Source organism: Homo sapiens, chromosome 19 (genome assembly GCF_000001405.40).
Source record: "Homo sapiens chromosome 19, GRCh38.p14 Primary Assembly".
In the NCBI taxonomy this organism is placed as follows: domain Eukaryota; kingdom Metazoa; phylum Chordata; class Mammalia; order Primates; family Hominidae; genus Homo; species Homo sapiens.
Window position 1 is genome coordinate 37985523 of NC_000019.10, and position 24575 is coordinate 38010097.

Sequence of the window (24575 nt, forward strand, 5' to 3'; positions counted from 1 at the left end):
ACCAGGATAAAGTGAAGTGAGTGGTAGTGGTGGGAGGGGTGTCTTAGAGGGATGAGGAAGGGGTCTGTCCGAGGAGGTGACATTTAATCTGAGACTTGAAAGATGAAAAGGAGCCAGTCATGCACACAGGTGGGTGAACAAGGGTGAGAATGTGTTGGGAGGGATTTGTAGTTTGTTCCCCAAAGCCTCCATTTGCTTCCATCCTAGGGGTGTTTGGAGAGGATGGCTGTGGGGAGCTGACTTTGGCGTCTAGGAAGAGAGGTGGTGGGCCCAGAGGCCGGGCCCCTCCCTGGCTCCTCCCAGCCTTCCCAGGGCCCTTACCCAGGGATGCGGGGCCACAGGGAAGAGACCCTTCGCCCCTTGGGTGGACTCCCTGACTTCCCAGCCAAGAATGTGGTTGTCCTTTTTGTTCCAAAGGTGACCCAGCTGCGCCGTCATGCGAGCAAAGCGGTGGCGCTTTGTGCCTGAAGCCCACTTTCTCCTTCCCCAGATAGATCAGCTCAAAGCTGTCTGCCCTAGAGAAGCTCCAGAAAGCAGCCAAGCCAGACTGGGCATGCTGCTTGGGGCTGTGGGGGAATTAACCATCTCTTTTCTTTGTGTCAAAGGTGGGGAAGGTATTAAAGCAACAGGGCTTCCTGGATAGAGCCACAGTTAGGAGCCCAGATTCAGGGCTTAAACTCCGGCTTCCCCACTTACACCTTGGGCAAATGCCTTCCATGTGCCTCACCTTAGCTTTCCCATCTGTAGAATGGGACAGTAATTCCTGTGCTTAGAAAAGTGCACACAGGATGTGCTACATAAGTGTTATCACCTTCCAATTTTAACTCGAGGTGAGATGGCTTTCTCTTTCCTCTAGTTTCTTGTCAACAGTTAAGACACTTGCATTCGACTTCTGTTTCTCCACACCAGCCCGGTTCTTGCCCAGGAGCTTGGCGTCTGGCAGTCAGCCAGGCTTCAGGTGCCAAAAGCAGCCCCTTTGCTGGGGAAAAGCAGGTTATTTGATGCCAGGAAGCTGAGAATTGTCAGGATGTTTGTCGCCAGCGTTGGGGGCCTGTGTGGTGCCTCCACAAAAGGGACTGCTCTTGCTTGCCAGGGAGAGAAGACTGCTTCCTCCAGGGCAGCTTCTTCTTTTCTTAACCCTGGCTGCACGAACCCTATTAGAATCAGGTGGGCACTGTTTACAACGTGCCCGTGCCTGCCTTCCCCTTTCCCCTCTTCCTGTGTAAAGGGCCTGAGGCCTAGGTGTGGAGACTTTTTTTTCTTAGCTGCCTGATGTGCCTTCAGGGACACTCTCTGAATTCAGGGGCATTCACAATCACTGAATGTAGCTGAGAACCACCTGGGGGTCGTGATAAAATGCAGGTTCTCATTCATCTGGTCTGAGGAGGAGCTGAGCGTTTTCTTTTTTCTTTTTTTGCTTTTTGAGATAGAGTCTCACTGTGTCACCCAGGCTGGAGTGCAGTGGTGCGATCTCGGCTCACTGCAACCTTTGCCTCCCAGGTTCAAGCAATTCTTGTGCCTCAACCTCCCGAGTAGCTGGGATTACAGACTTGTGCCACCATGCCTGGCTAATTTTCGAATTTTTTGTAGAGATGGGGTTTCACCATGTTGGCCAGGCTGGTCTCAAACTCCCGACCTCAGGTGATCCACCCGCCTCAGCCTCCCAAAGCACTGGGATTATAGATGTGAGCCACCGCGCCCGGACACATCTGCTTTTTCAGTGAGCTCCCAGGTGATGTAGATGATGCTGTTTCCCGGACCTTAGGTGTCAGAATCAAGGGCCTAGAAGTCTGCTTTTCAGATGTGTAGAATCTGGGACACGCACTTTGAATCCTTAGCTGCATTTTTCCCAGACCCCTTGGTGATTGACTACCCATTAGGATTTGGGAGCCTAGACCAGGGTTTGTGAACCCTGACGCTGTTGACCTTTGGGGCTAGATCACTCTTTGATGTCAGAATTGTCCTGTGCATATTATGGGCTGTTCAGCAGCATCCCTGGCCTCTACCCACTAGATGCCAGTAACAGCACCCCCCAGCGGGGATCATCAAAAGTGTCTCCAAATGTCCCCTGGAATAGAGGTGGGGCAGTGTTGTCCCTAGTTGGTTACCAGCGGCCTCGCACCCTCTAATTTCACCATGCCTGGGACCCCCTAGGCCAGCTGGTCACTCACATCGATGCTCAGGTCCCACAGTAGCAGTCATGGCCACTTTAGTTTGGGGCAGGCCCCAGTGGGGATACAAGCTCTTGGTGCATCTCCCGTCTGCTGCACTTTGACAGCCACTGTCCCGGCGCCTTTACTGCTCAGTAAATGGTGGGTGTGGCTGGACTAGCAAGTGGGGAAAGGATAATAAACGGAGCTTGGTATTTGTGTTGGGAGAGTGGGAATCAGAATGAAGTCACCATAAAGTCCCTTTTAATAACAGTAGAGAAGATTCTAGGCTTGGTGGTATTATCTCCTTTGGAAATTGTCCCAAATTCTCTCTCTATTCTCCCCTCCTCCTACAGTCCCCCTGCTGGTCCTGTCTGTCCTTGGCTCCCACTGGCCTAAGGCAGCAGTCTCTCATTATCCTGCTGGCTCCTGCCCTACCTCTCCTGGTCTGTCCTCTGCACTCAGCCAGGTGGGGCCTGTGAACACCTGAGGTCACGGCCCTCCCCTGCTCAGAACCTCCCATGGGATCTGGAGTACCAGCATCTCACTCAAGAGAAAAGTCAAGGCCAGGTGCAGTGGCTCACGCCTGTAATCCCAACACTTTGGGAGGCTTAGGTGGGAGGATTGCTGGAACCCAGGAGTTCGAGACCAGCCTGGGCAACATAGACCCTGTCTCTACAAAAAATTTTATAATTTTTAAAAAATTATTATCAAAAAGAGAAGCAGGGTGCAGTGGCTCATGCCTGTAATCCCAGCACTTTGGGAGGCCGAGGCGGGTGGATCACCTGAGGTCAGGAGTTTGAGACCAGCCTGGCCAACATGGTGAAACCCTGTCTCTAGTAAAAATACAGAAATGAGCCAGACATGGTGGTGGGCACCTGTAATCCTAGCTACTCGGGAGGCTGAGGCAGGAGAATCGCTTGAACCCAGGAGACAGAGGTTGTAGTGAGCCGAGATCACACCACTGCACTCCAGCCTGGGCGACAGAGCGGGACTCCATCTCAAAAATAAATAAATAAGTAATACATAAATAAGAATTAAAAAGAGGAAAGTCAGTGTCTTTTGTGTGGCCCACTGGGCCCCCTTGATCTGGCCCTGTCACCTCTCTGCCTTGTCCTCTGCTTCCTGCCCCATTGCTCTTTGACCCTTTCCCTGCTCCTAGAACGCACCAGGCACGTTCGCTCTCCAGGATCTCTGCGCGGGCCGTCCTCCCTCCCACTCCACACAGTCCTCTGGCTGCTCCTGCGAAGCTTCCCTTAGGTTTCTCTGCTCAGAAGTCACCCTCCCAGCGAGGCCTTCTTTACAAGCCTGACCTCCAAACAAAAACAGATTCCTCTCCCCTTCTCATGCAATATAAGCCCTGTTAGAGCTGGGGCCTTGTCTGCTTTCCTGTGGTTTCCCCAGCACGGTGCCTGCCGTGTAGGAGGTGTTGGCTGTGTGATTGAGGAGGGAATGAGTGAACTGCTGCTTAAGTGCTTCTTTGTGCCTGGCCTTGTGCATCCTCCCACGGAACCTTCCTAACTCTGTGGGGCAGCTCCTGTTTTTTGTTTGTTTGTTTGCTTTTAAAGACAAGATATTGCTCTGTCACCCAGGCTGGAGTGCAGTAGCACAGTCATAGCTCACTGCAACATCCATTTGCTGAACTCAAACCATCCTCCCACCTCAGCCTCCTGAGTAGCTGAGACTACAGGTGTGCGCCATCACTCCTGGCTAATTTTTAAAAAATATTTAGTAGAGACGGGGATCTCACTGTGTTGCCCAGGCTGGTCTTGAACTCCTGGCCTCAAGCAGTCCTCATGTCTTGGACTCCCAAAGCCCTGGGATTACAGGCATAATCTCAGTGTACCACTGCACCCAGCTATGCAGCACCTATCTTGAGCTCCATTTTACAAATGAAGACATGGAGGTTCTGATTAAGTCACTGCCCAAGGTCTCCCTCTGAATAGGGAAATCCTCAGAACACACATCAGGCCTCCCTGCTTAGGATGAATTCTTTTTTTTTTTTTTTTTTGAGATGGAGTCTCGCTCTGTCACCCAGGCTGGAGTGCAATGGCGTGATCTCAGCTCACTGCAACCTCCGCCTCCTGGGTTCAAGCGATTCTCCTGCCTCAGCCTCCCCAGTAAGTAGCTGGGATTGCAGACGTGAGCCACCGTGCCTGGCTAGGATGAATTCTTTAACTCCCTACATCATTGCACTGCTTGTTGGGTGGCACAGCCAGAATGAGCCTTGGCTTCCCGTGCACTCAGTCGGGGTGCTGGGGCCTGGCTGAGCCGGGCCATTGGAGAGTAGAGGATTTGGGGTTCCCTGCTGTGCTTGTTGACGTAGACCCCCCCACCTGACCTTTTGTTTGGCCCTCATGCATATTTAGGGTTTCACCTGGTGGAGTGGGGGAGGGGAGGCTCCTTCTCTGGCGTTTCCTCTGTGAAATTCTGGAGTGGGGTCAGCTCCTGTTTCTGCCCTACGGCCGCATGCCTCTTCTGGTTGCTCAACCACCCTGGAAGAATTCCCAGGTCATTTTATACCCACATCTTGATTTTTGTAACTGGGTGGACCAGATCACCAGCTACCTGGGGGTAGGGACAGAGGCATCTTTTTGGGTCTCTTTTAGGCCTGGCAAGGTGGTGGGTGTTCTTGTTAAAAGATCTAAAAACCTCCATTCATTCCTATGTATCTTTTTGGGGCCTCTTGCATGTTGGGCACTACCTTGAGCCTATGGGAGGAAAGCAGCCAGTGAGACAGGCGGGGTCGTGGGGTGAATACCTGTGGAACTTTGGCGGAAGCCAGGTCCGATGGGATCTGGAGTACCAGCTTTGACTTCAGAGCGCTCTCTTCTGGCTGGGCATGGAGACAAGGAATAGATACAGCAATAGCCACATAACTGCAGGTGGACGATGAGTACAGCTCTTGCTCAGCTAGTCAGCCCACAGCGAGAACCCCGCCCCAGTCTGGGCTAACGTGTCCTCTGCTGCCAGCAGCCCAGTAGGGTTCTTTGCTGGAGTCTGGTTTTTCCTTGACTTGTAGCTGGCAAGTGCTTACACGCTCTCAGAGGCCCAGCAGACATCTCTGTCCACTCAAGGGGCATGTGTGTGTTTAATTGGACCACTGGTACCAACAACAGCAGACACGCTCAGTGCCAGGCCGTATTCCGAGTGCTTTTTAATCCCCATGATGACTTAGTGGCATTGGTACTGTTGTTAGCCTTTTTTTCCAGATGGGGAAAGTGAGGCAAAGAGAGGGGAGGTAACTTGTCCACTGCCTGTTAATAGTAAGTGGCAGGGGCCAGGCACGGTGGCTCACGCTTGTAATCCCAACACTTTGGGAGGCTGGGGTGGGCAGATTGCTTGAGGCCAGGAGTTCAAGACCAGCCTGGCCAAGATGGTGAAAACCTGCCTCTACTAAAAATACAAAATCAGCAGGGCGTAGTGGCACGTGTCTGTAATCCCAGCTACTTGGGAGGCTGAGGCATGAGAATCGCTTGAACCTGGGAGGCAGAGGTTGCTGTGAGCCGAGATTGCGCCACTGCACTCCAGCCTGGGCAACAGAGCAAGACTCTGTCTCAAAAAAGAAAGAAAGAAAGAAAGAAAGTGCTTATTGGCCTTTTAAAAAAAATAGTCTCAAAGCTGGGATTGAACCCAGGCCATCTGGCTTCCAATTCCATGCTCTTAAGCGCTCTGTGGACGTATCAGATGGCTGGACAGGGCCAAACCGGCTGATCTCTCTGGGGATGGGAGGAAGGCCCTGCCAGCATGGAAAGGAGCAGACATTCCCATTCCTGGTGCTCTGGGAAGAACTACCTCCCCACATCCCCAGAGCAAAGGCCATGGAGGAAAACCTGAAGGCAGGAAGAAAGCTATATGGCTGGTCAGCTGCTGTCACCCTGGAAAGCCCTGGGCTGGCTTATGTACCCCACCTGCATGTGAGTTCAGTGGGCCCATTGTGCAGACAGCTTGGCAGGGACCGTGCAGAGTCACTGTTCCCGGGAATGCAGCAGCTGAGCTCTCTGCCCTGGAGTTCCGGAGGCTCCTTTCACTCAAGACAGCCCTGTGACGGTGATCTGTTGCACAGATGACCCTCCACCTGATGCTTTGGAGCTGGAGACAGATTTCTCTTGGGGGCTTGCTAGGACCGGGGTGGGGTTTGGGGCATTTGGAGTTGGGTGTGAGGCTGTGGAGCCTTGCAGCTGATGGCTTGGAGTCACACTGCAGGCAGCTGGGTTCGGGCCCCACCCTGCACTAGCTGCATGACCTGGGGCAGGTACTTCACCTCCTTCCTCAGGCTCTTCATTTTTCAAATACCTGCCTCGTTGACTTTGGGCTGGAGGGAGGGATAAAGGATGATAATTCACTGAGGTCATCTTATGCAGAGTGTTCAGTCCACAGACAGGCATCCACGTGGCTAGAGGCAGGGCCTGGGGAACCACCACTTCCAGCTCCAGGGCTTTAGGCAAGTGGCTTTAGCCTCCATTGGGCTGCATTTCCTCCTTCTACAGCAAGGGCCAGAGCAGTCCCAACCTCTTAAGGCTGCGGGGTTCACTGAGTGAGTAGGTACCTGGGGAGTATTTAGCACAGGCCCTGGCACTCAAGGTAAGTAAGCCCCATGGCATGAGCTGTCATGATCATAATGCACAATTAAGAATGTCAGCTTGAGGCCTAGCAGTCAGGCAAGGAGGAACTGCACAGATAATATGATGAATAGGGCCAGGCATGGTGGCTCACGCCTGTAATCCCAGCACTTTGGGAGGCCGATGCAGGTGGATCACTCGAAGTCAGGAGTTCGAGACCAGCCTGGCCAACACGGCGAGACCCCGTCTCTATTAAAAATACAAAAATTTTCTGCACATGGTGGCACATGCATGTAATCCCAGCTACATGGGAGGCTGAGGCACGAGAATCACTTGAACCTGGGAGGTGGAGGTTACAGTGAGCTGAGATTGCGCCACTGTACTCCAGCCTGGGCAACAAAGTGACACTCTGTCTTAAAAAAAAAAAAAAAAAATTATGAATGGGATGGTTCTAGAAAACTCCAAGTTGGTCAGCTACTCCCCTTTGGCCTTGAAAAGTGGTGACATGAGGCTCCATGTGGTTTTTGTGGGCCTGTTTTCCTCCTTTCAGAGGAGAGTGGCCTTTCTGGACTGAAGAACATGAGCTAAATGGGGACAGCAAGGAATCTGGGAGTGGAGGTCCTCCAGGGCTTTGGGAGGCTCCATTCAGGTCGCCTACGTGCTGGCTCTGTGGTCAGTTGTGCAGGGCGAGTGTGAGTGCGGGAAGTCAGCAGACCTGGGTCCCTGGTGCTCCCAGCTGCGTGACCCCGGCAGGATCCTCAGACTCGCTGGGTCAGTGTCAGGCACGGTGCTAAGCACAGAGGTGGTACCCAGTCACCGTTGGTTGTTCTGAGGACAGCAGAATAGTGAGGGCAATGGAGGGTGGGCCCTATGGTCAGTCAGCTGGATTCAAACCCTGGCTGTGTCAGGTCTGAGTTATGAGACCTTGAATAAGTGACTTAGCCCCCTGCCCCTCAGTTTCTTCATCTGTGAGATGGGGATGACACCCACTTCACATGGGGCTGTGGGGATCACGAGATGATCTATATGAAGCCCTTGAACCAGCTCTTGGCACAGAGAAAGTTCTCATTGTGCGTTGGCTGTTTTTATTGCTATTATTATTATTATTATTTTTGAGATGGAGTTTCACTCTTATTGCCCAGGCTGGAGTGCGGTGGCGCGATCTCGGCTCACTGCAACCTCCGCCTCCTGGGTTCAAGCGATTCTCTTGCCTCAGCCTCCCGAGTAGCTGGAATTATAGGTGCACGCCACCATGCCCAGCTAATTTTTTGTATTTTTAGTAGAGACAGCGTTTCACTGTGTTGGCCAGGCTATTATTATTAAACCATCCTAGAAAGCATCATAAGTGGAAAGTGTAAATCGCAGATACGTTCAGGGGAACAGATCCCTAACGGGGGAATCTGTGGAGAGCTCCTCCTCTGGAGGGCTTGTTCAGAGCTAGCATTCGAGCCTTTGTGTTTCCAGAACGTACCTGAAAAAGTGTGTGAAGGAGGGGCCAGGAGCGTGTCGACCAGGTGTGATGTTGTCTTGCCACGGGGACAGGTTTCCCAAGGTCAGAGGATTCCACCAGATTGTTCAAGGTGCCGTATGAATAAACACTTGAAGCATTTTAATAGCTGTACTTTTATTTCAATGCATAGCAGGAAAGTAATTTCATTTTATTTTATTATTTTTTTTTAGAGACGGGTCTTGCTCTGTCGCCTAGGCTGGAGAGCAGTGGCACAATCATAGCTCACTGCAGCCAAGAATTCCTGGGCTCAAGCAATCCTCCTATTTCAGCCTTCCAAGAAGCTGGGACTATAGGTGTGCACCACCACACCTGGCTAAGTTTCTTATTTTTATTTTTTATAGAGATGTGGGTCTCGCTTTGTTGTCCAGACTGGTATTGAACTTCTGGCCTCAAGTGACCCTACCACCTTGGCCTCCCAAAGTGCTGGGATTACAGGCGTGAGCCATCATGCCTGGCCGGGAAAAGAATTTAAACAGCATGTCAAACCTAGTATCCCATGGCTATTTCTGCATTGGGTGAGGCTAAAGTTGGTACTTAAGCCAAAAATAAAAGTGAGTATAGTTAAAGTGTGAAGTAAGCCGTAGCTCAGGTGCTCTGGGATATGGTACAAGTGGCGCCAGTGTGTGGAGATCTGGGAGACATGGTGCTAGGAGAAAGGGGTCAGGGCTGGGCTGTGAAGTTGTTTTTCAGCGGTGGAAAGGCTGAAGCTCCCTCAGGAGGTTGCTGAGCTGTTCGGCCCCCTTTGCCTCTCTCCTCCTTGGCTCTTGAAAACCACTGAAGGTCTGAGCACAGCCACTCTAGAGTGGAGCAGCCGCCCTGGCTGCTGTAGTTTCCCACATCAGAGGTGGTGGGATGGATGAGGAAATATACCAAGTGTTTATCGCTAGCGCCTTCTCTTCCTGCAGTGGGATGTGAGAGCTGTGGAATGGCCTTGAGCAGCTACCTGTGATAGTGGTAATAATCTTTAACCAATGTGAGTGAGTGCCAAGCACTTCCCATGCTTGATGGCATTGAACCCTCCCTCTACCATGTGATCTTTCGATCTGTCAGTTGGGACACACTGGGCTGCAGGTAACAAGACGTCTGGTGACTCCTGGCTGAGCAGTAGAGACGCCCCATTGCAAACATCCTGGAGGAGACAAGCTCCATGGCTGGTGCAGAGGTGCTCACCTGGAACTCCAGGCACTTATGTTTCTGTGTTCAACCCTCTGTGTGCAGGCGTTTCGTTCGTGCTGGTGGGGTTGGTCATTGTGTGGTCATGGGATGGCTGCCCCAGCCTGAGGATCAGATCCTCAGACACGGCATCCTGAGCTAGGAGGAGAGGAGTAGGGGAAAGGTTTCCTCTTCACGTGCCTTTCCGTTTGAAAGAGAATATGTTCTTATAAATACCCCTCCTCCCAGCAGACCTCTCTTTACATTCCATTGGCCATAAAGGAGCCAGGGGCCGGCCCTAGCTGCAAGGGAGGCTGGGGCAGCACATGTCTGTACCGTGAGAGACAGCAAGAGACAGGGGATGGCAGTGGCATCCGCTAGACAACCAAGTGTCTGCTGTGGGTGGGTGCTATTACCACCCTTGCTATAGATGAGAGAAATCAAGGATCAGAGAGGTGAGAGAATGGCTTGCTTGGCATCTCATACAGCGTGGAGGGACAGAGCAGGGATCTGAAGCCATGTATTCCCACAGAGCCTGCAGTTTTAACCCCTGTGCAGTGCTACCTTCCTGAGGGGGACACCCAGCCGGCCATAATGCAGCGTGGTGAGTAGATGAGCTGCAAGTGCGGGGGAACACAGGAAAGAGAAACTCGGCTTGGGCACCATCAGGGAGAACTGTGAAGAGGGGTGGTTGGGCTGGCCTTCGAAAGGTTAGTAGGAGTTCTGCCAGATACACAGGAAAATGGCCTGAGGAGGTGGGGCCTGGGCAGAGGGCACAGAATGAACAAAAGCGGGTTGGGACAGTGTATGCTGGGTGGGTTAAGGAAGCCTCTTTGGGTTGAAAGGTGAATTTGTCTTATGTCACTGGGAAGTCTGTAGGAGGGGAGCTTCAGATGCAGCCCGAGTATGGGGCCCACACGTGCCATTGGGGCTCTCCTTGGCTTCGCTCTGCCAGCAGGCTGGAGTCGGGCAGATCCTCCTGGTTTATCAACTCAGTGGAAAGAGGATTTAGAGTCTTCAGTGGTTTGTTTTGTTCCGAGACAGGGTCTAGGTCTGTCACCCAGGCTGGGGTGAAGGGCATGATCATAGTTCACTGTAACCTTGAACTCCTGGCCTCAAGCAGTCTTCCCACCTCAGCCTCCAAATAGCTAGGAGTACAGGCATGCACCACCACACCTGGCTGATTTTTAAATTTTTGGGGGATGTGTGTGTGTAGAGATGGGGTCTCACTACATTGCCAGGGCTGGTCTCAAACTCCTGGCCTCAAGTGATCCTCCTGCCTTGGCCAACCAAAGTGTTGGGATTATAGGCGTGAGCCAGCACACCCAGCCAGTATTTATTTACTTAGAGACAGGGTCTTGCTCTGTTACCCAGGCTGGAGTGTAGTGGTTCAATCAGAGCTCACTGCAGCCTCGACCTCCTGGACACAAATGATCCTTCCTCCTCAGCCTCCCGAGTATCTGGATTTACAGGCGGGAGCCCAGCCTTTATTGTTTTTAATTGATAAGTAAACATCACATATATTTATGGTATACAACATGCTGTTTTGGTATGTGTGTACATTGTAGAATGGCTAAGTCAAGCCATTTAACATAATGCATTACCTCACTTGCTTTTTTTGTAGTGAGAACACTTAAAGTCTACTCTCTCAGCCATTTTGAAGTATGCCATGTATTGTTAGTAATTGTTGCTACCATGATGTACAGTAGCTCTCTTGAACTTATTTCTCTTGTCCAACTGAAGCTTTGTGTCCTTTGACCAACATCTCCACAATCCTCCACTGCCATCCTCTGTATTTTATTTTATTTTATTTTTTTGAGACAGAGTCTCACTCTGTTGCCTAGGCTGTAGTGCAGTGGTGCCATCTCAGCTCGCTACACCCTCCACCTTCTGGGTTCAAGCAATTCTCCCTGCCTTAACCTCCCAAGTAGCTGGGATTACAGGCACCCACTACGACGCCCAGCTAATTTTTGTATTTTTAGTAGAGACGGGGTTTCACCATGTTGGCCAGGCTGGTCTCGAACTCCTGACCTCAGGTGATCCACCCGTCTCAGCCTCCCAAAGTGCTGCGATTACAGGCGTGAGCCACCGTGCCCGGCCAATCCTCAGTGTTTTTATACTAGCCCCAGGGAATATTCCATTTGGGTTGTATGCCTATCCAAGAAGGTGGTATTTGGGAGTGGGTGGGGGAAGATGAGGTAGAGATGCTAGATACACAACATAATATCCACAAGTACATGTGCAACTTTTAATAGATACCTTCGTCTTCTGTACTTTAGTTTCCTTGTCTGAAAAGTGGGACTAATACAATCTTCCCTGCCTCATACATAGGGTTTGGGAAGATTCCACATGGTAGGCATTCACCAGTACAGTTAGAGAATGTTCTTTGGGCCGGGCACGGTGGCTCACATCTATAATCCCAGCACTTTGGGAGGCTGAAGCAGGCGGATCACTTGAGGTCAGGAGTTCGAGACCAGCCTGGCCAACATGGTGACACCCGATCTCTACTAAAAATACAAAAATTAGCCAGGCGTGGTAGCATATGCCTGTAGTCTCAGCTACTCGGGAGGCTGAGGCACGAGAATCACTTGAACCCAGGAGATGGAGGTTGCAGTGAGCTGAGATTGTGCCACTGCACTCCAGCCTGGGCAACAGAGTGAGACTGTCTCATTAAAAAAAAAAAAAAAAAAGGCCGGGCACGTTGGCTCATGCCTGTAATCCCAGCACTTCGGGAGGCCGAGGCAGGTGGATCACGAGGTCAAGAGATCGAGACCATCCTGGCCAACATGGTGAAACCCCGTCTCTACTAAAAATACAAAAATTATCTGGGCGCAGTGGTGCGCTCCTGTAGTCCAGCTACTCCGGAGGCTGAGGCGGGAGAATCGCTTGAACCTGGGAGGCAGAGGTTGCAGTGAGTTGAGATTGTGCCACTTCACTCCAGCCTGACGACAGAGCGAGACTCCATCTCAAAAAAAAAAAAAAAAAGAAAAGAAAAAGAGAGAGAGAGAGTGCTCTTTGGAACCTAGAGCACTGGTCTCCCAATTGGTAGAAGGCCCCAAATGGCACCTTGCCAGGACCTGGTGTTGCCATTTAAACTTGGGCTGCTTGGATTCAAATCCCAGCCCCAGCTGGTAAGAGCTAGATAACCTTGGGCAAGTAGCTTTACCTCTCTGTGCCTTAGTTTCCACATCTGTACCAGAGAGAAGAATGCTTAGGGCACTGCCAGGCACATGGTAGACATCAGTAAATATTCTTTTGATGAGTGCATGAATGGAAAATCTGAGTCAGAAGCGACTCACGGCTTGTTAAACCTTTTTGGATTTGTATCGCCTAGAGTCCCTCCAGAAAAGCATTACTCTGTTACTGCAGGCTGAGATGACCCATTTCCCTGTTCCTCAGCCAGCCCTGTGTCTTATCTTCTAGGAAAGAATTCATAGTAATTTTTTCCAGGAGTATGTGGTAGGACATAGTAATTTTGATTGGTAATGGAACCAGCCTAATATTATGGACATGTAAGAAAATGTCCATGTTTTTCAGAGCTGCAAACCGAAACGCATAAAGTTGAAATGACATGATATCCGGCATTTGCTTTAAAATACTTCAGGCCGGGTGTGGTGCCACACATGTGTATTCCCGGCACTTTGGGAGACCAAGGTGGGAGGATTGCTTGAGCTCAGGAGTTGGAGATCAGCCTGCGCAACATAGCAAGACCTCATCTCTACTAAAAGTAAAAATAAATTAATTAACCAGACATGGTGGGATATGCCTGTGGTCCTAGCTACTCAGGAGGCTGAGGCAGGAGGATCACTTGAGCCTGGGAGGTTGAGGCTGCAGTGAGCCAAGATCACACCACTGTAGCAGCCTGGAAGACAGAGTGAGACCCTGTCCAAAAGTAAATAAATACAATAAAATACTTTGGTAAGAAGGAAAAGGGGGGAAAAGGAAGAAATAAAGAATAGATGAAGCTAATATGGCAGAATCTTGACAATTTTTGAATCTAGGTTTGGGTACAAGGGAGTTCATTGTACCTTACTCCCTACTTTTTTTTAGCATGTTAACAGAACAAAAACCAGCCCTATCTATCACACACACACACACACACACACACACACACACCCACACACACACAAAGACTAAAAATTGTGTGACCATGAAAAGCACTGCGATCCTGCTGCCCACAGACAGTTGGGAAGGTCCTGAGCCAGGGTGGCGATGGGTAAATGACCACCTTGCAGTTCTTCGTTCATCCCCTTTGTGAGGAGACCTTTTCTGGTTCAGCAACTGGACAGATAGTGGATTTCAGGCCAAAGCATCAATTTCTCATCTCTTTCCTGCTGAGGAGGAGGAGACCAAACCCCCCAGTGACTGACTCCTGGGATCCCTTTCACTGCTGGGCCTGGTTTTACCATGGGGTGGAGGGAGCCACAAGCTGCTCTTCTCCAGGGACCTGTGTGATGACGGCAAAAACGTAACTGGCCAATCTTCCACAATGACTAAATATTAACTCCAGCCCCGCTCCTGGACGCACATGAGCAGTCTTGCCCATCCTTGTTAAACAGGCAACCGCCCCAGCCTTCTCTCTAGTTGCACATGGAAGTGAGTGGTGGGCTGGGTTTTCCAGCGCTGAACGTGCTCTTCATTCCGCTGCCTGTGGACGTTAGGGAGGGGCTTCCGCAGTCCATCTGGCACTGGGTGGGTCTCAGTCCGGGCGGGCGATCCACCCAGGAACTGACCCCTGGTTGCTCCAGAAAGGTCATCGTTTAAGAATGTTTCTTGGGTAGCCCAGTGGGAGACCCACGTGTGCGTGTGGTCAGCTGTAGCTTCCGGCTGTCTCACTTCTGCTGAATTCCAGCAATTTCTCATTTCCTTTAGGAAACAGGATGAGTCTGGAGAGGAGTATGAAAAATCATGACAAACCTGGCGATAGGGACACTGGGAACCTAGCCCTGAATGAAGCTTATAGTTGGTCATGATTGCCAGGGTCTTGAACAGTGTGGACCAGGGGAAAGAAGGTACCTGGGGCCAGATGCCCTGGATTCAAATCCCACCACCCCCACTAACACTTGTGACCTTGAGAAAGTTGCGTAACCTCTCTGTGCCTCAGTTTGCTCATTTGTAAAATGATGATAGTACCTGCCTCGTAGGATTTAAGGATTAAATTAGATACTGTTTTTTAAGTGTTTGAAACTGCCTCTTCTGTAGTAGTTCCTCAATTAATAGTGGCTATGACAGTATTATCATATCCTGTTGTAATGGGCATGCACAGTTAGGATTAAGAACCTTTGGTCAGCTAGGTGTGGTGGCTCACACCTGTAATCCCAGCACTTTGGGAGGCCGAGACGGGTGGATCACCTGAGGTCAGGAGTTTGACACCAGCCTGGCCAACATGGTGAAACCCTGTCTCTACTAAAAATTAAAAAAATTAGCTGGGCGTGGTGGTGGGTGCCTATAATCCCAGCTACTCTGGAGGCTGAGGCAGGAGAATCGCTTGAACCCAGGAGGCGGAGGTTTCAGTGAGCCTAGATCACGCTACTGCATTCCAGCCTGGGCAACAGAGTGCACAGAGTGAGACTCTGTCTCAAAAAAAAAAAAAAAAAAAAAAGAACCTCGGTTTATAAATAGTGGTTCAGATGGAAGCAGAAATTAGAGGAGAGGAAGAGGGAAGCACTTTTCTCCCCAGCAGTCCATGGTTTGAGGAAATAGGCTTAATTTCATCGTTGAAAAATGTTATTTTTCACTCGATGTTCAAAATCTCCTAGGAAAGCAGGGGCAAAAGACTTTTTTTTTTTTTTTCCTCCTCATGCTTGGTCATGCAAAAGACTTTAAAGAGAGAAAATGTCTCTTCCCCACTTCTCTATATACATGCTGGGAAAAAAAAGACTGGAAGGAAATGAACCAATGTCTTAACAGTGGTTGCCCTTTGGTGGGGAGAGAATGAGTAACTCTATAATCTTCTTTGTACATTTATGTTCCAAGTTTTTTATATATATATATATGTTATATATATATATATAACATATATATAACATATATATAACATATATAACATATAACACACATATAACACATATATAACATATATAACACACATATATATAACACATCAATCATATACACATATATATCACACACATATATCACACATATATCACACATATATATATATCACATATATATCACATATATATATACTACTTTCATAAACAGGAAAAATGTTAAAAAGTTAAGGAATCATGTGAGCTTGGCTTCTGGGGAGGTTGGGTGGAGTTACTTCAGAATAAAGCTCTCTGCTTAATGTTTGAGTGTCCAGAGACGTTTGCACCCCACCCTTCCTTAAGGTGTACTTGAGGCCTATTAAATTTCTACCTAGAAAGTTCTTGATATCAAAGATGATCCCTCAAACTCCATTCTTCCGCCTGCCCAGACTTGTTCTAGATATTTATCTTCTCTCCCACCTTTCTCTTGAGATGAAAGAACTCTAATTCTTTTGTGGTTCTTCTGATCTTGCAAAAGAACCACATTTTTTAAAACTTAAAAAAAAAATTCTGAGACAGGGTCTTGCCCTGTTGCCCAGGCTGGAGTGCAGTGGGAACAATCATAGCTCACTTCAGCCTCAGCCTCTTAGCTCAGGTGATCCTCTTGCCTCAGCCTCCCAAATAGCTATGACCACAGGCATGTGCCACCATGCCTGGTTAATGGTTTTTATTATTCGTAGAGACTGGGTCTTGCTATGTTGCCCAGGCTGGTCTCAAATTCCTGGGCTCAAAGCAATCCTGCCGCCTTGGCCTCCCCAAGTGCTGGGATCACAGGCATGAGCCACCGTGCCTGGCCCTGCAGTTTTTTAGTACTTTTTTATTATGATAAAATATGATAAAATGTACATAACACAAAATTAACCATTTAAAACTTTTATTGTGGCACAATATACATAACAAATTTTTTTTATATTTTATAATTAGCTTTAGCTTGATTGTGGTGATTTTGTCACAATGTATATGTATATACAAGTTGTCCACCTTAAGTATGAACAGTTTTTATTTGTCAGTTATACCTTTAAGGAAACTGTAAAAAAGAAAATATGCACAACTCATTTAGTAACCTAGAAGTCAAGTGTTTAATTTTCTGAAATTTTATTATGCCCAGTTACATTACTGATAGATATAGTTACCAAAAAAATGTACCTTACGTGTGCAGTTCAGTGGCATTCAGTACATGCACATGGTTGTGCATCCATCATCATCCATCCACAGAACATTTTTCATCTTGTAAACTGAAACTCTGTCTCTGAAAAACAATATTCTCCATCCCCAAGACCCCAGTCCCTGGAAGCCACCTTTCTATTTTCTGTCTCTATGAGATTGACGAATGTAAGTGTCTCCTATGAGTGGAATCATCCGGTATTTGTCCTTTTGTGGCTGGCATATTTTATTTAGTATCATGTCTTTAAGGTTCATTCATGTTGTATATATCAGAATTTCCTTCCTTTATGAGGCTAAATAATATTCCAATTCATATTTAAGGCTAAATAATAATGATATGTATATATCACATTTTGTGGCCAGGTGCGGTGGCTCACACCTGTAATCCCAGCACTTTGGGAGTCTGAGGCGGGCGGATCACAAGGTCAACAGATTGAGACCATCCTGGCCAACATGGTGAAACCCTGTCGGTACTAAAAATACAAAAATTAGCTGGGAGTGGTGGCGTGCGCCTGTAATCCCAGGAGGCAGGAGAATCGCTTGAACCTGGGAGGCGGAGGTTGCAGTGAGCTGAGATCACGCCACTGCACTCCAGCCTGGTGACAGAGCGAGACTCCATCTCAAAAAAAAAAAAAAAAAAAAAAAAAAATTTATATGTATATATATATATCTCACATTTTGCTTATCTATTTATCTGTTGATGGACACTTGGGATGCTTCTACCTTTTGGCTATAGTGAATAATGCTGCTGTTAACACTGGTGTGCTGGCAGGGCACAGTGGCTCATGCCTGTAATCCCAGCACTTTGGGAGCCAAGACAGGTGGATCACTTGAAGCCAGGAGTTCGAGACCAGCCTGGCCAATGTGGTGAAACCCGATCTCTACTAAAAATACAAAAAAATTAGCCAGGCGTGGTGGCATGCTGCTGTAGTCTCAGCTACTCGGGAAGCTGAGGCATGAGAATGGCTTGAACCCAGGAGGTGGAGGTTGCAGTGAGCCGAGTTCACACACTCCAGCCTGGGCAACAGAGTGAGATTCCATCTCAAAAGATAAAATAAAAATAAGACTGAAAACAGGAGAGTTTATTCAGTAAACATCAACTGAAGACCCTACTCTGGGCCAGGCACCAATGAGCAAGGCAGGCACAGCTCCTCCCTGGTGGAGCCCACAGCCAGGGAGAAAACACAAGAACCGCAGAGCCATATGGATAAGTACTGTGTTCTGCGTGCTCTGAAGAAGAATGGGATTTTTCAAGCTGTAGTACAGGGAGATTCACAGAGGCTCCCCAAGGAAGTATAGTTTAAGTGTCATTTTCTGGGTGCAAATGGAAAACGTGAATTTGGTGTATGTCTCTAGATAAGCCCCACTTCTGAATGATTCCGGCTGTGGGCAGGGATCCCCAGATGGGCGTTGCTATGGAAGCAGCTTGCACCTCTCACTTCCTGACTTGAGTTTATTTCCGAGTTTCCCGTGCCACCGCCAGTTCCCAGCTGTAAATACAGACGTGGCAGGGTCCCTTTTTCCTGCTGCCTCGTAGCTGCCCAGAGAACGGATGTGGCTGGAATCCAGCCCAGGAGCCTCCTCCCGAGAGAGCTCGTTGTGGAACCTGCCATGTGGCGGTTTCTCTTCCATCCCGCCTCTTTCCTTTGTCCTCTCTCGGGACTGTGCCAGCGTGCCCCAGCCTGTGTTTTGAAACTTTAGACCCCAGCTTGTATTTGGTAGAGAAATGAGCTCATGAGGGCTTCCTCCGCCACCCAGCAACCGGGAAGTTGAGTCAAATCTCTTTCATTTCAGATCCATCCCCCACCCCCACCCCCAGGCCAGATTTGCCACCCTTCTGACAGAAACTGGGTTAGCTGTTCTCTGGGACTGTTTGTGAGGAGGGGACTTGTTGACCTGAACAAAGGAACTACAAACAAGACAGGGGAGGGATGTGGCTGATTGCTCACTGGGATTGGGACTTTTCAGCTACCCTTCAGTGCTTTCGAATAGTAATTGCTAACGTGTTGAGAATTTACAGTGTGCTAGACAGTCTTTAAATCACTTTTAATCCATTTAACAGCTCAATCAAGTGTATATAATTATCCCCATTCTAGAGCTGGGGAGGCGGTGGGCAAGTTCGGCAAGTTGAGTCATTGGCCAAATTCCTGTACTGCAGCAATTTAGGCAAAAAGTGGGCATTTAACCAGAGGCTCCTGGGGCGGCCCAGAGACCTGAAGAAAGCCTCAGGACCAGTCAGTTACTTGGTTGCAAGTAACAAAAACACCAACTCAAATAGACATAAATTTTAGGGGAAAGGATTGGCTCATTCAACTGGAAAGCCCAGAGGTGGGGCAGATGTCTGGGCTGGCTGGTCCAGGAGCCTGGGGCTATTGCCAGTGACCCATTTTCCTTCTGTCTCTTTATTGTTCCCTCTGATGTCAGTGTCATCCTCAAACGTGGCTCCCCTGAAAGTTGCACACCAGCTGCCAGGACCCGCTCAGGCTTGTGTCCTTATCCCTGTCCTGAAAGAAAAAGAAGGTATCTGTCCCGAACTATCATGCAAAACCTCAGAGCTCCTGTCTGATTGGACTAGCACTGGTCATGTGATCTTCCCCGAACCAATCACTAATAAGAGGGGTGAGCTCACACTAGCAGGCTGGTTGCAAAACCTGCCATAGAGGAAGGGCGGGCTGGGTGCTGGGATTGGAACCAGGACACACATGCCACTGTATCTGCATTCTCTTCCTCACTTGTTCACTCCCCACCTCTAGATCTGCGTTATTCATTCTCTTATATTCAGTCTGTCTTTCTGCTTTGTATTCTACTGGACAGGAAGCCTGGCCATCACAGACTGCTGAGCAATACACGTTTCAGTACAGGCCCCCAGAGAGAGTCACCGCATGTTCTCTCAGCCCGAGTCCAAAACAACCCGAGGAGTGGAGGATGTCTCCCTCCGGACTAACCGGGGCCGAGGAAAGGGTTCTTTTGACAGGCTCAGCTGAGTCAGATGTCCCCCACCCACCCCCGGCCAATCAGCTACAGGCAGGGATGAAGTCATTGCTCCCTCTGTCCCCTGCCACGTGCCTACTATAACATCTTCATAGGACCTCTAAGCTGGAATCATTTAAGCAGGATGCCAAAGGACAGCAATTGGGCCACACTTCTTGACTGTAGTGACACTAAAACCTCATTGCAACTCTCTACAGGAAGGCCAGCTCTTCAGTGTGGCCCCCCAGACCCTGCTTGCTCTGGCCCCTGCCTGCCACCCGCCCCCACTCCCGCCTCATCCTGCAGATCCCTGTGCACTGCGCTCCAGCTGCTGGGCCTGCCTTCCTTGAATGCACCATGTCTTCGCCTTGCTCCTGGGCTGCTTTCTTGGTTCTCCCACCGTGCTGCCCACTACCCCTGCCCTTCTGGCCTGGCTGATGCCGACTCCTCCTTCAGATGTCTCCTTCAACACACTCCCAGGGGGTTGCTCCGAAGCCCACCCCGCCCTTCTTCCCTGAGCTACTCATCTGACCTGATCAGGGCTTCCCCCTCCCCTTAATGTCAGCTCCATAAAGGCAGGAACCAAATCTGTTTTGTTAAAGGTATGACCCTTTCCACCAAATATGCTCCTTACTAAACTTTGCTAAGGGAATGAATGAAGTGATAATAGTGACATAAGGAGAAAGGGAAAGCGGAGCACAGTGACTTGCCTGTCACTCAGCTAGGAATCCTGGCACTGTGGGAGGCTGAGGTGGGCAGACTGCTGCAGGCCAGGAGTTCGAGACCAGCCTGGACAACATGCTGAAACCCCATCTCTACAAACAATACAAAAATTAGCTGGGCATTTTAGTGTGCACCTGTGGTCCCAGCTACTTGGGAGGCTGAGGGGGGAAGATTGCTTAAGCCCCCGAGGTTGAGCTATGATCCCACCACTGCACTGCAAGCCTGGGCGACAGAGTGAGACGCTGTCTCAAAGAAAAATAAAAGCACCCAGATAAACAGGCGGTGAATGGTGGAGGAAAAAACTGGGTGCCAAGACATCATGTAACTAGTTGGGGAGGTGATGCTGGGGCTGAGAGCATCAGTCAAAGTTTGCTGGTCTAGGGGAGTGGTGGTGGCAGGGGTGAGTCCAGGGTAGGGGTTGGGGACTGTATATAAAAAGAGCCTGAGGTGGGGTAGAGCCAGTCTCGAAGAACTGAAAGGCCCGAACCTAGAAGCAGCATGAGTGAGGTGGGGATGGAGCAGTAGAAGGTGCAAGAAGCAGACAGGGCCAATCATGCTTGACCTTGCAGGCTTTGCAGGGTGTGGGGCATCACGCCTTTTACCTTCTAGGGAGTGGGGCACGTTAAGAGAGGGAAGAGGGCAAGAAAGGTAGGAGGGCTTTGAATATTGGCATGAGAATACTCTCCAGGGAGATGACAGTCCCCCACACTGACATGGGCAGCATCTGTAGAAACAGGAAATGCGTCTCAGACACATGGAAAGATACCTGACTCTGGGCGTAATAAGAGAAATGCCAATTAAAATCATGCCGAGATACTACTTCGCACCTCTCAGAAGGGCAAGAGCACAAGGCGTGCGCACATGCTGTGGGCAGTGGTGCGGGGGGCATCCAGGCTTCTCCGGAGCTAGTGGGAGGGAAAGCAGAACTGTCGCTTTGGAGGGGACTCTGGCCATTCCTGTGAGTATGACCGGGCACACACCCACCTTTCACCCCGGCAGCTCCACTTCTAGGAAGCTTCACCTACACATGTTCCCAAGTGTGAGAAGTGATCTTTGTCCAAGGTTATTCATTACAGCAGTGTTTGTCAGAGCAGAAAAGGGGAAATGGCTTGTGTGTGCCTTAATAAGGCACTAGAGGAATCAGTCGGGTTTGTCTGTGCAGCGGAATACCATGCGGCCGGGAAGGTAGAGTAAGGCCCTGATAAGAGGGGCCTTCCGTGTCTGTGGTGCTGCTAAGCAGGAAAACGAAAAGAACGCGATGGCTCCCGCCTATAACCCCAGCACTTTGGGAGACCAAGGCAGACGGATCATTTGAGGTCAGGAGTTCAAGACCAGCCCGGCCAATGTGGTGAAACCCTGTCTCTACTAAAAGTACAAAAATTGGCTGGGCACGGTGGCTGACGCCTGTAATCTCAGCACTTTGGGAGACCAAGGCAGACGGATCATTTGAGGTCAGGAGTTCGAGACCAGCCTGGCCAACATGGTGAAACCCTGTCTCTACTAAAAATACAAAAATTAGCCAGGCGTGATGGCACGCACCTGTAATCCCAGCTACTCTGGAGGCTGAGGCAGGAGAATGGCGTGAACCCGGGAGGCGGAGGTTGCGGTGAGCCGAGATCACGCCATTGCACTCCAGTGCAGTGCAAAAGTGAAACTCTGTCTCAAAAAAAAAAAAAAAGAAAGAAAAGAAAAAAACAAATATTGTATTTGTAATTGCCCGGGGGAGGGGGGATTTTGGAAAATGTGAGGAGAATATAGGTTTTGTGAAGATTCCAATGCCAGTCAGCCCTGGAGCACTCTTCATTATTTATTATTATTATTATTATTATTAATTCTTCTTCTACCTTTTTTTGCTTAACTTAAGCATACCCTGTTAGAGCACTCTTAACTGTCAAATTAGATCACCTTCATTTTCCATACCAGGCACTGTGTTCTTGGCTACATGTGTGTAAGTATCTTGGTGTGTGTGTGCATGTGTGTGCATGTATGATTTAGTTACTTTATTGAGATCTCTGAGACACCATCTCTGAGCGGCCTTCCTCAGCACCCTGTCTAAAATGGCCCTCCCTGTCGCTGTCTTCTGCTTTATTTTTCTTCATGGTGTTTATCACGGTCTGATGTTCTATATTTGCTTTCTACACCATCCTCCTTGGAATGTGAGCTCCGTGAAGGCAGGGATCTTTGTCTTTGTTCCTTTCTGTATCCCCAGCGTCTAGAGCAGTGCCTGGCCCATAGCAGTTGCTTCATGAGTGCATGTTGAATGAATGTGAGTGCGTCTGAAGACTGAATGTTATCCTCCTATTGCAGATGCGGACCTCAGGCCCCCAGAGGCCTTGCCCTCTTTTCATGGACTCTAAGAAATGAAGAACAAACTGCAAAGCCCACTGGTGTTCTGACTGGGGAAGAGGTGAGAAATCACCATAGGCTGCTTTTTTTTTTTTTTTTTTTTTTTTTTTTGAGATGGAGTCTTGCTCTGTCTGCCAGGCTGGAGTGCAGTGGTGCAATCTCAGCTTACTGCAACCTCTGCCTCCCGGGTTCAAGCAATTCTCCTGTCTCAGCCTCCCTAATAGCTGGGACTACAGGCACCTGCCACCATGCCCAGCTAATTTTTTGTATTTTTAGTAGAGACACGGTTTCACCATATTGGTCAGGCTGGTCTTGAACTCCTGACCTCAGGTGATCCACCCACCTCAGCCTCCCAAAGTGCTGGGATTGCAGACGTGAGCCACCGCTCCTGGCTAGGCTACCTTTTAAGCTGTTAAAATTCTCCCTTTACCCCCATTCCTTTTCCTTTCTTTTTTTTCCCCTTAGAGACAGAAGTACAATGATGGGATCATAGCTCGCTGCAGCCTTGAACTCCTGGGCCCAAGAAATCCTCCTGCCTCAGCCTCTTGAGTAGCTGTGACTACAGGTGCATGCCACCAGGCCTAGCTAATTTTTAAAAATTTTTTGGTAGAGACAGGGTCTCCCTATGTTGCCCAGGCTGGTCTCGAACTCCTGGCCTCAAGCAATCTCCCCAGCTCAGCCTCTCAAAGTGCTGAGATTACAGGCATGAGCCACCATGCCTGGCCACATTCCTTTTTCAAAGCCACCTTGAGAGCTAGGAATACTAGCTGGGTCTCTTCTGCTGGGTCCTGCCTGTGAAGCACTGAGGAGCATGCCTGCACCACAAAATTTCTCCAGCTGTCTGGGGTCCATCTCTCCTTCTTGCTTGAGCGACCCTTGTTCTGGCCTGGTTTTTTTTTGTTTTCGTTTGTTTGGTTTTGAGAGGAGTCTTGCTCTGTCACCCAGGCTGGAGTACAATGGCATGATCTCGGCTCACTGCAACCTCCGCCTCCCGGGTTCAAGTGATTCTCCTGCCTCAGTCTCCTGAGTAGCTGGGATTACAGGTGCCTGCCACCATGCCCGGCTAATAGAGACGGGGTTTCACCACGTTGGTCAGGCTGGTCTCGAACTCCTGACCTTGTGATCTACCCGCCTTGGCCTCCCGAAGTGCTAGGATTACAGGGATGAGCCACCGCGCCCAGCCCTATTCTGGGCTATTATTCCATGGAGAATAGGTAGAGAGAGAAGGAAATTTCCAGTGTGGAGGCACTCTCCTCTGGAGGGACCCCTCACTTAGGCTGTGTGCTTAATCTTATCAGAGTCCAATTTGCCCAAGAGACCTCCTCAGACATGAGGAGTCGAGGATGTTGTTTATTTCTTCAGTATTTCCGTTGTAATAACATCTTTGCCAGTGTGCTTTTGAGGGTCCTTCTGTGCCAGTTACTTTTCCAACCGTTCAATTGCTGTTACCTCATTTAACCCTCTCAACAGCCCTATTGAGAGTGGATATTACTCCTCCCACCATGTTACTGATGAGGAGGCTTGGGATTCTGAATGGGCTGGTAACCAGCCACACGTCCACAGGATGCTAAGCCGCAGACCTGTGATTTGATTCTGGCTCTAGCTGACCACCAAGATGGCGCTCCCTGGCCTCGTTGCCACACTGCTTCCCCATCTGCTTTGGGGATTTTCCCAGTGACCAGGAGGACAGGGTCTGGTTTTCTATGACGGCGTGATATGGATGGTTAATCATGTCGCAAAGCCCTGCTGTCCAGCATGAGGCTTTGGTGGGTTGGAGGAAGGTGGGTGGAGAGCCTGCTGCTTGTTTCTCACAGGTGTTTGCCACACAAGAGATCAAACTTCTGTTTCCTGTTGAGATTGGTTTCCATCTCTCTCCATTCATCTCTGACACTCCCTATCTCTCTTAATTATGTCTTATACTGACGTCTATAACCCTGCTCAGCCCTCTCCCTCCAGACCCCCT

At 49.5% G+C, this 24575-nt stretch overlaps 1 protein-coding gene across 7 annotated transcripts in view, besides 9 other annotated features; it reads left to right on the top strand.

The window, feature by feature from the left end:
* SIPA1L3 (signal induced proliferation associated 1 like 3) overlaps positions 1 to 24575 on the top strand; it is a 301162-nt gene that overhangs the window by 78315 nt on the left and 198272 nt on the right. The window contains exon 2 of one of the 7 annotated variants that reach the window (XM_047438487.1): positions 22574 to 22673. The exons of the other annotated variants lie outside the window; for them this stretch is intronic. The gene's annotated coding sequence lies outside the window, so the exon portion shown is untranslated. The remainder of the gene's footprint in view (positions 1 to 22573; positions 22674 to 24575) is intronic. 7 annotated transcript variants of the gene reach the window in all.
* Positions 2841 to 3346: an enhancer, noted in NCBI's record as "NANOG-H3K27ac-H3K4me1 hESC enhancer chr19:38479003-38479508 (GRCh37/hg19 assembly coordinates)". NCBI's record gives its function as "activates a minimal SCP1, AML or CMV promoter by ChIP-STARR-seq in naive H9 embryonic stem cells {active_cell/tissue: H9 hESC(naive)}" and the evidence as "EXISTENCE:reporter gene assay evidence [ECO:0000049][PMID:30033119]".
* Positions 3347 to 3852: an enhancer, noted in NCBI's record as "NANOG-H3K27ac-H3K4me1 hESC enhancer chr19:38479509-38480014 (GRCh37/hg19 assembly coordinates)". NCBI's record gives its function as "activates a minimal SCP1, AML or CMV promoter by ChIP-STARR-seq in primed H9 embryonic stem cells {active_cell/tissue: H9 hESC(primed)}" and the evidence as "EXISTENCE:reporter gene assay evidence [ECO:0000049][PMID:30033119]".
* Positions 3853 to 4360: an enhancer, noted in NCBI's record as "OCT4-NANOG-H3K27ac-H3K4me1 hESC enhancer chr19:38480015-38480522 (GRCh37/hg19 assembly coordinates)". NCBI's record gives its function as "activates a minimal SCP1, AML or CMV promoter by ChIP-STARR-seq in primed H9 embryonic stem cells {active_cell/tissue: H9 hESC(primed)}" and the evidence as "EXISTENCE:reporter gene assay evidence [ECO:0000049][PMID:30033119]".
* Positions 4361 to 4866: an enhancer, noted in NCBI's record as "OCT4-NANOG-H3K27ac-H3K4me1 hESC enhancer chr19:38480523-38481028 (GRCh37/hg19 assembly coordinates)". NCBI's record gives its function as "activates a minimal SCP1, AML or CMV promoter by ChIP-STARR-seq in primed H9 embryonic stem cells {active_cell/tissue: H9 hESC(primed)}" and the evidence as "EXISTENCE:reporter gene assay evidence [ECO:0000049][PMID:30033119]".
* Positions 4867 to 5372: an enhancer, noted in NCBI's record as "H3K27ac-H3K4me1 hESC enhancer chr19:38481029-38481534 (GRCh37/hg19 assembly coordinates)". NCBI's record gives its function as "activates a minimal SCP1, AML or CMV promoter by ChIP-STARR-seq in primed H9 embryonic stem cells {active_cell/tissue: H9 hESC(primed)}" and the evidence as "EXISTENCE:reporter gene assay evidence [ECO:0000049][PMID:30033119]".
* Positions 13461 to 14660: an enhancer, noted in NCBI's record as "P300/CBP strongly-dependent group 1 enhancer chr19:38489623-38490822 (GRCh37/hg19 assembly coordinates)". NCBI's record gives its function as "activates an origin of replication core promoter dependent on BRD2, BRD4, P300/CBP, MED14 and CDK7 cofactors, with strong dependence on P300/CBP, by STARR-seq in HCT116 cells {active_cell/tissue: HCT116}" and the evidence as "EXISTENCE:reporter gene assay evidence [ECO:0000049][PMID:35650434]".
* Positions 17959 to 18490: an enhancer, noted in NCBI's record as "H3K27ac-H3K4me1 hESC enhancer chr19:38494121-38494652 (GRCh37/hg19 assembly coordinates)". NCBI's record gives its function as "activates a minimal SCP1, AML or CMV promoter by ChIP-STARR-seq in primed H9 embryonic stem cells {active_cell/tissue: H9 hESC(primed)}" and the evidence as "EXISTENCE:reporter gene assay evidence [ECO:0000049][PMID:30033119]".
* Positions 18897 to 19016: an enhancer, noted in NCBI's record as "active region_14564". NCBI's record gives its function as "activates an Ori minimal core promoter by ATAC-STARR-seq in GM12878 lymphoblastoid cells {active_cell/tissue: GM12878}" and the evidence as "EXISTENCE:reporter gene assay evidence [ECO:0000049][PMID:35858748]".
* Positions 21889 to 21948: an enhancer, noted in NCBI's record as "active region_14565". NCBI's record gives its function as "activates an Ori minimal core promoter by ATAC-STARR-seq in GM12878 lymphoblastoid cells {active_cell/tissue: GM12878}" and the evidence as "EXISTENCE:reporter gene assay evidence [ECO:0000049][PMID:35858748]".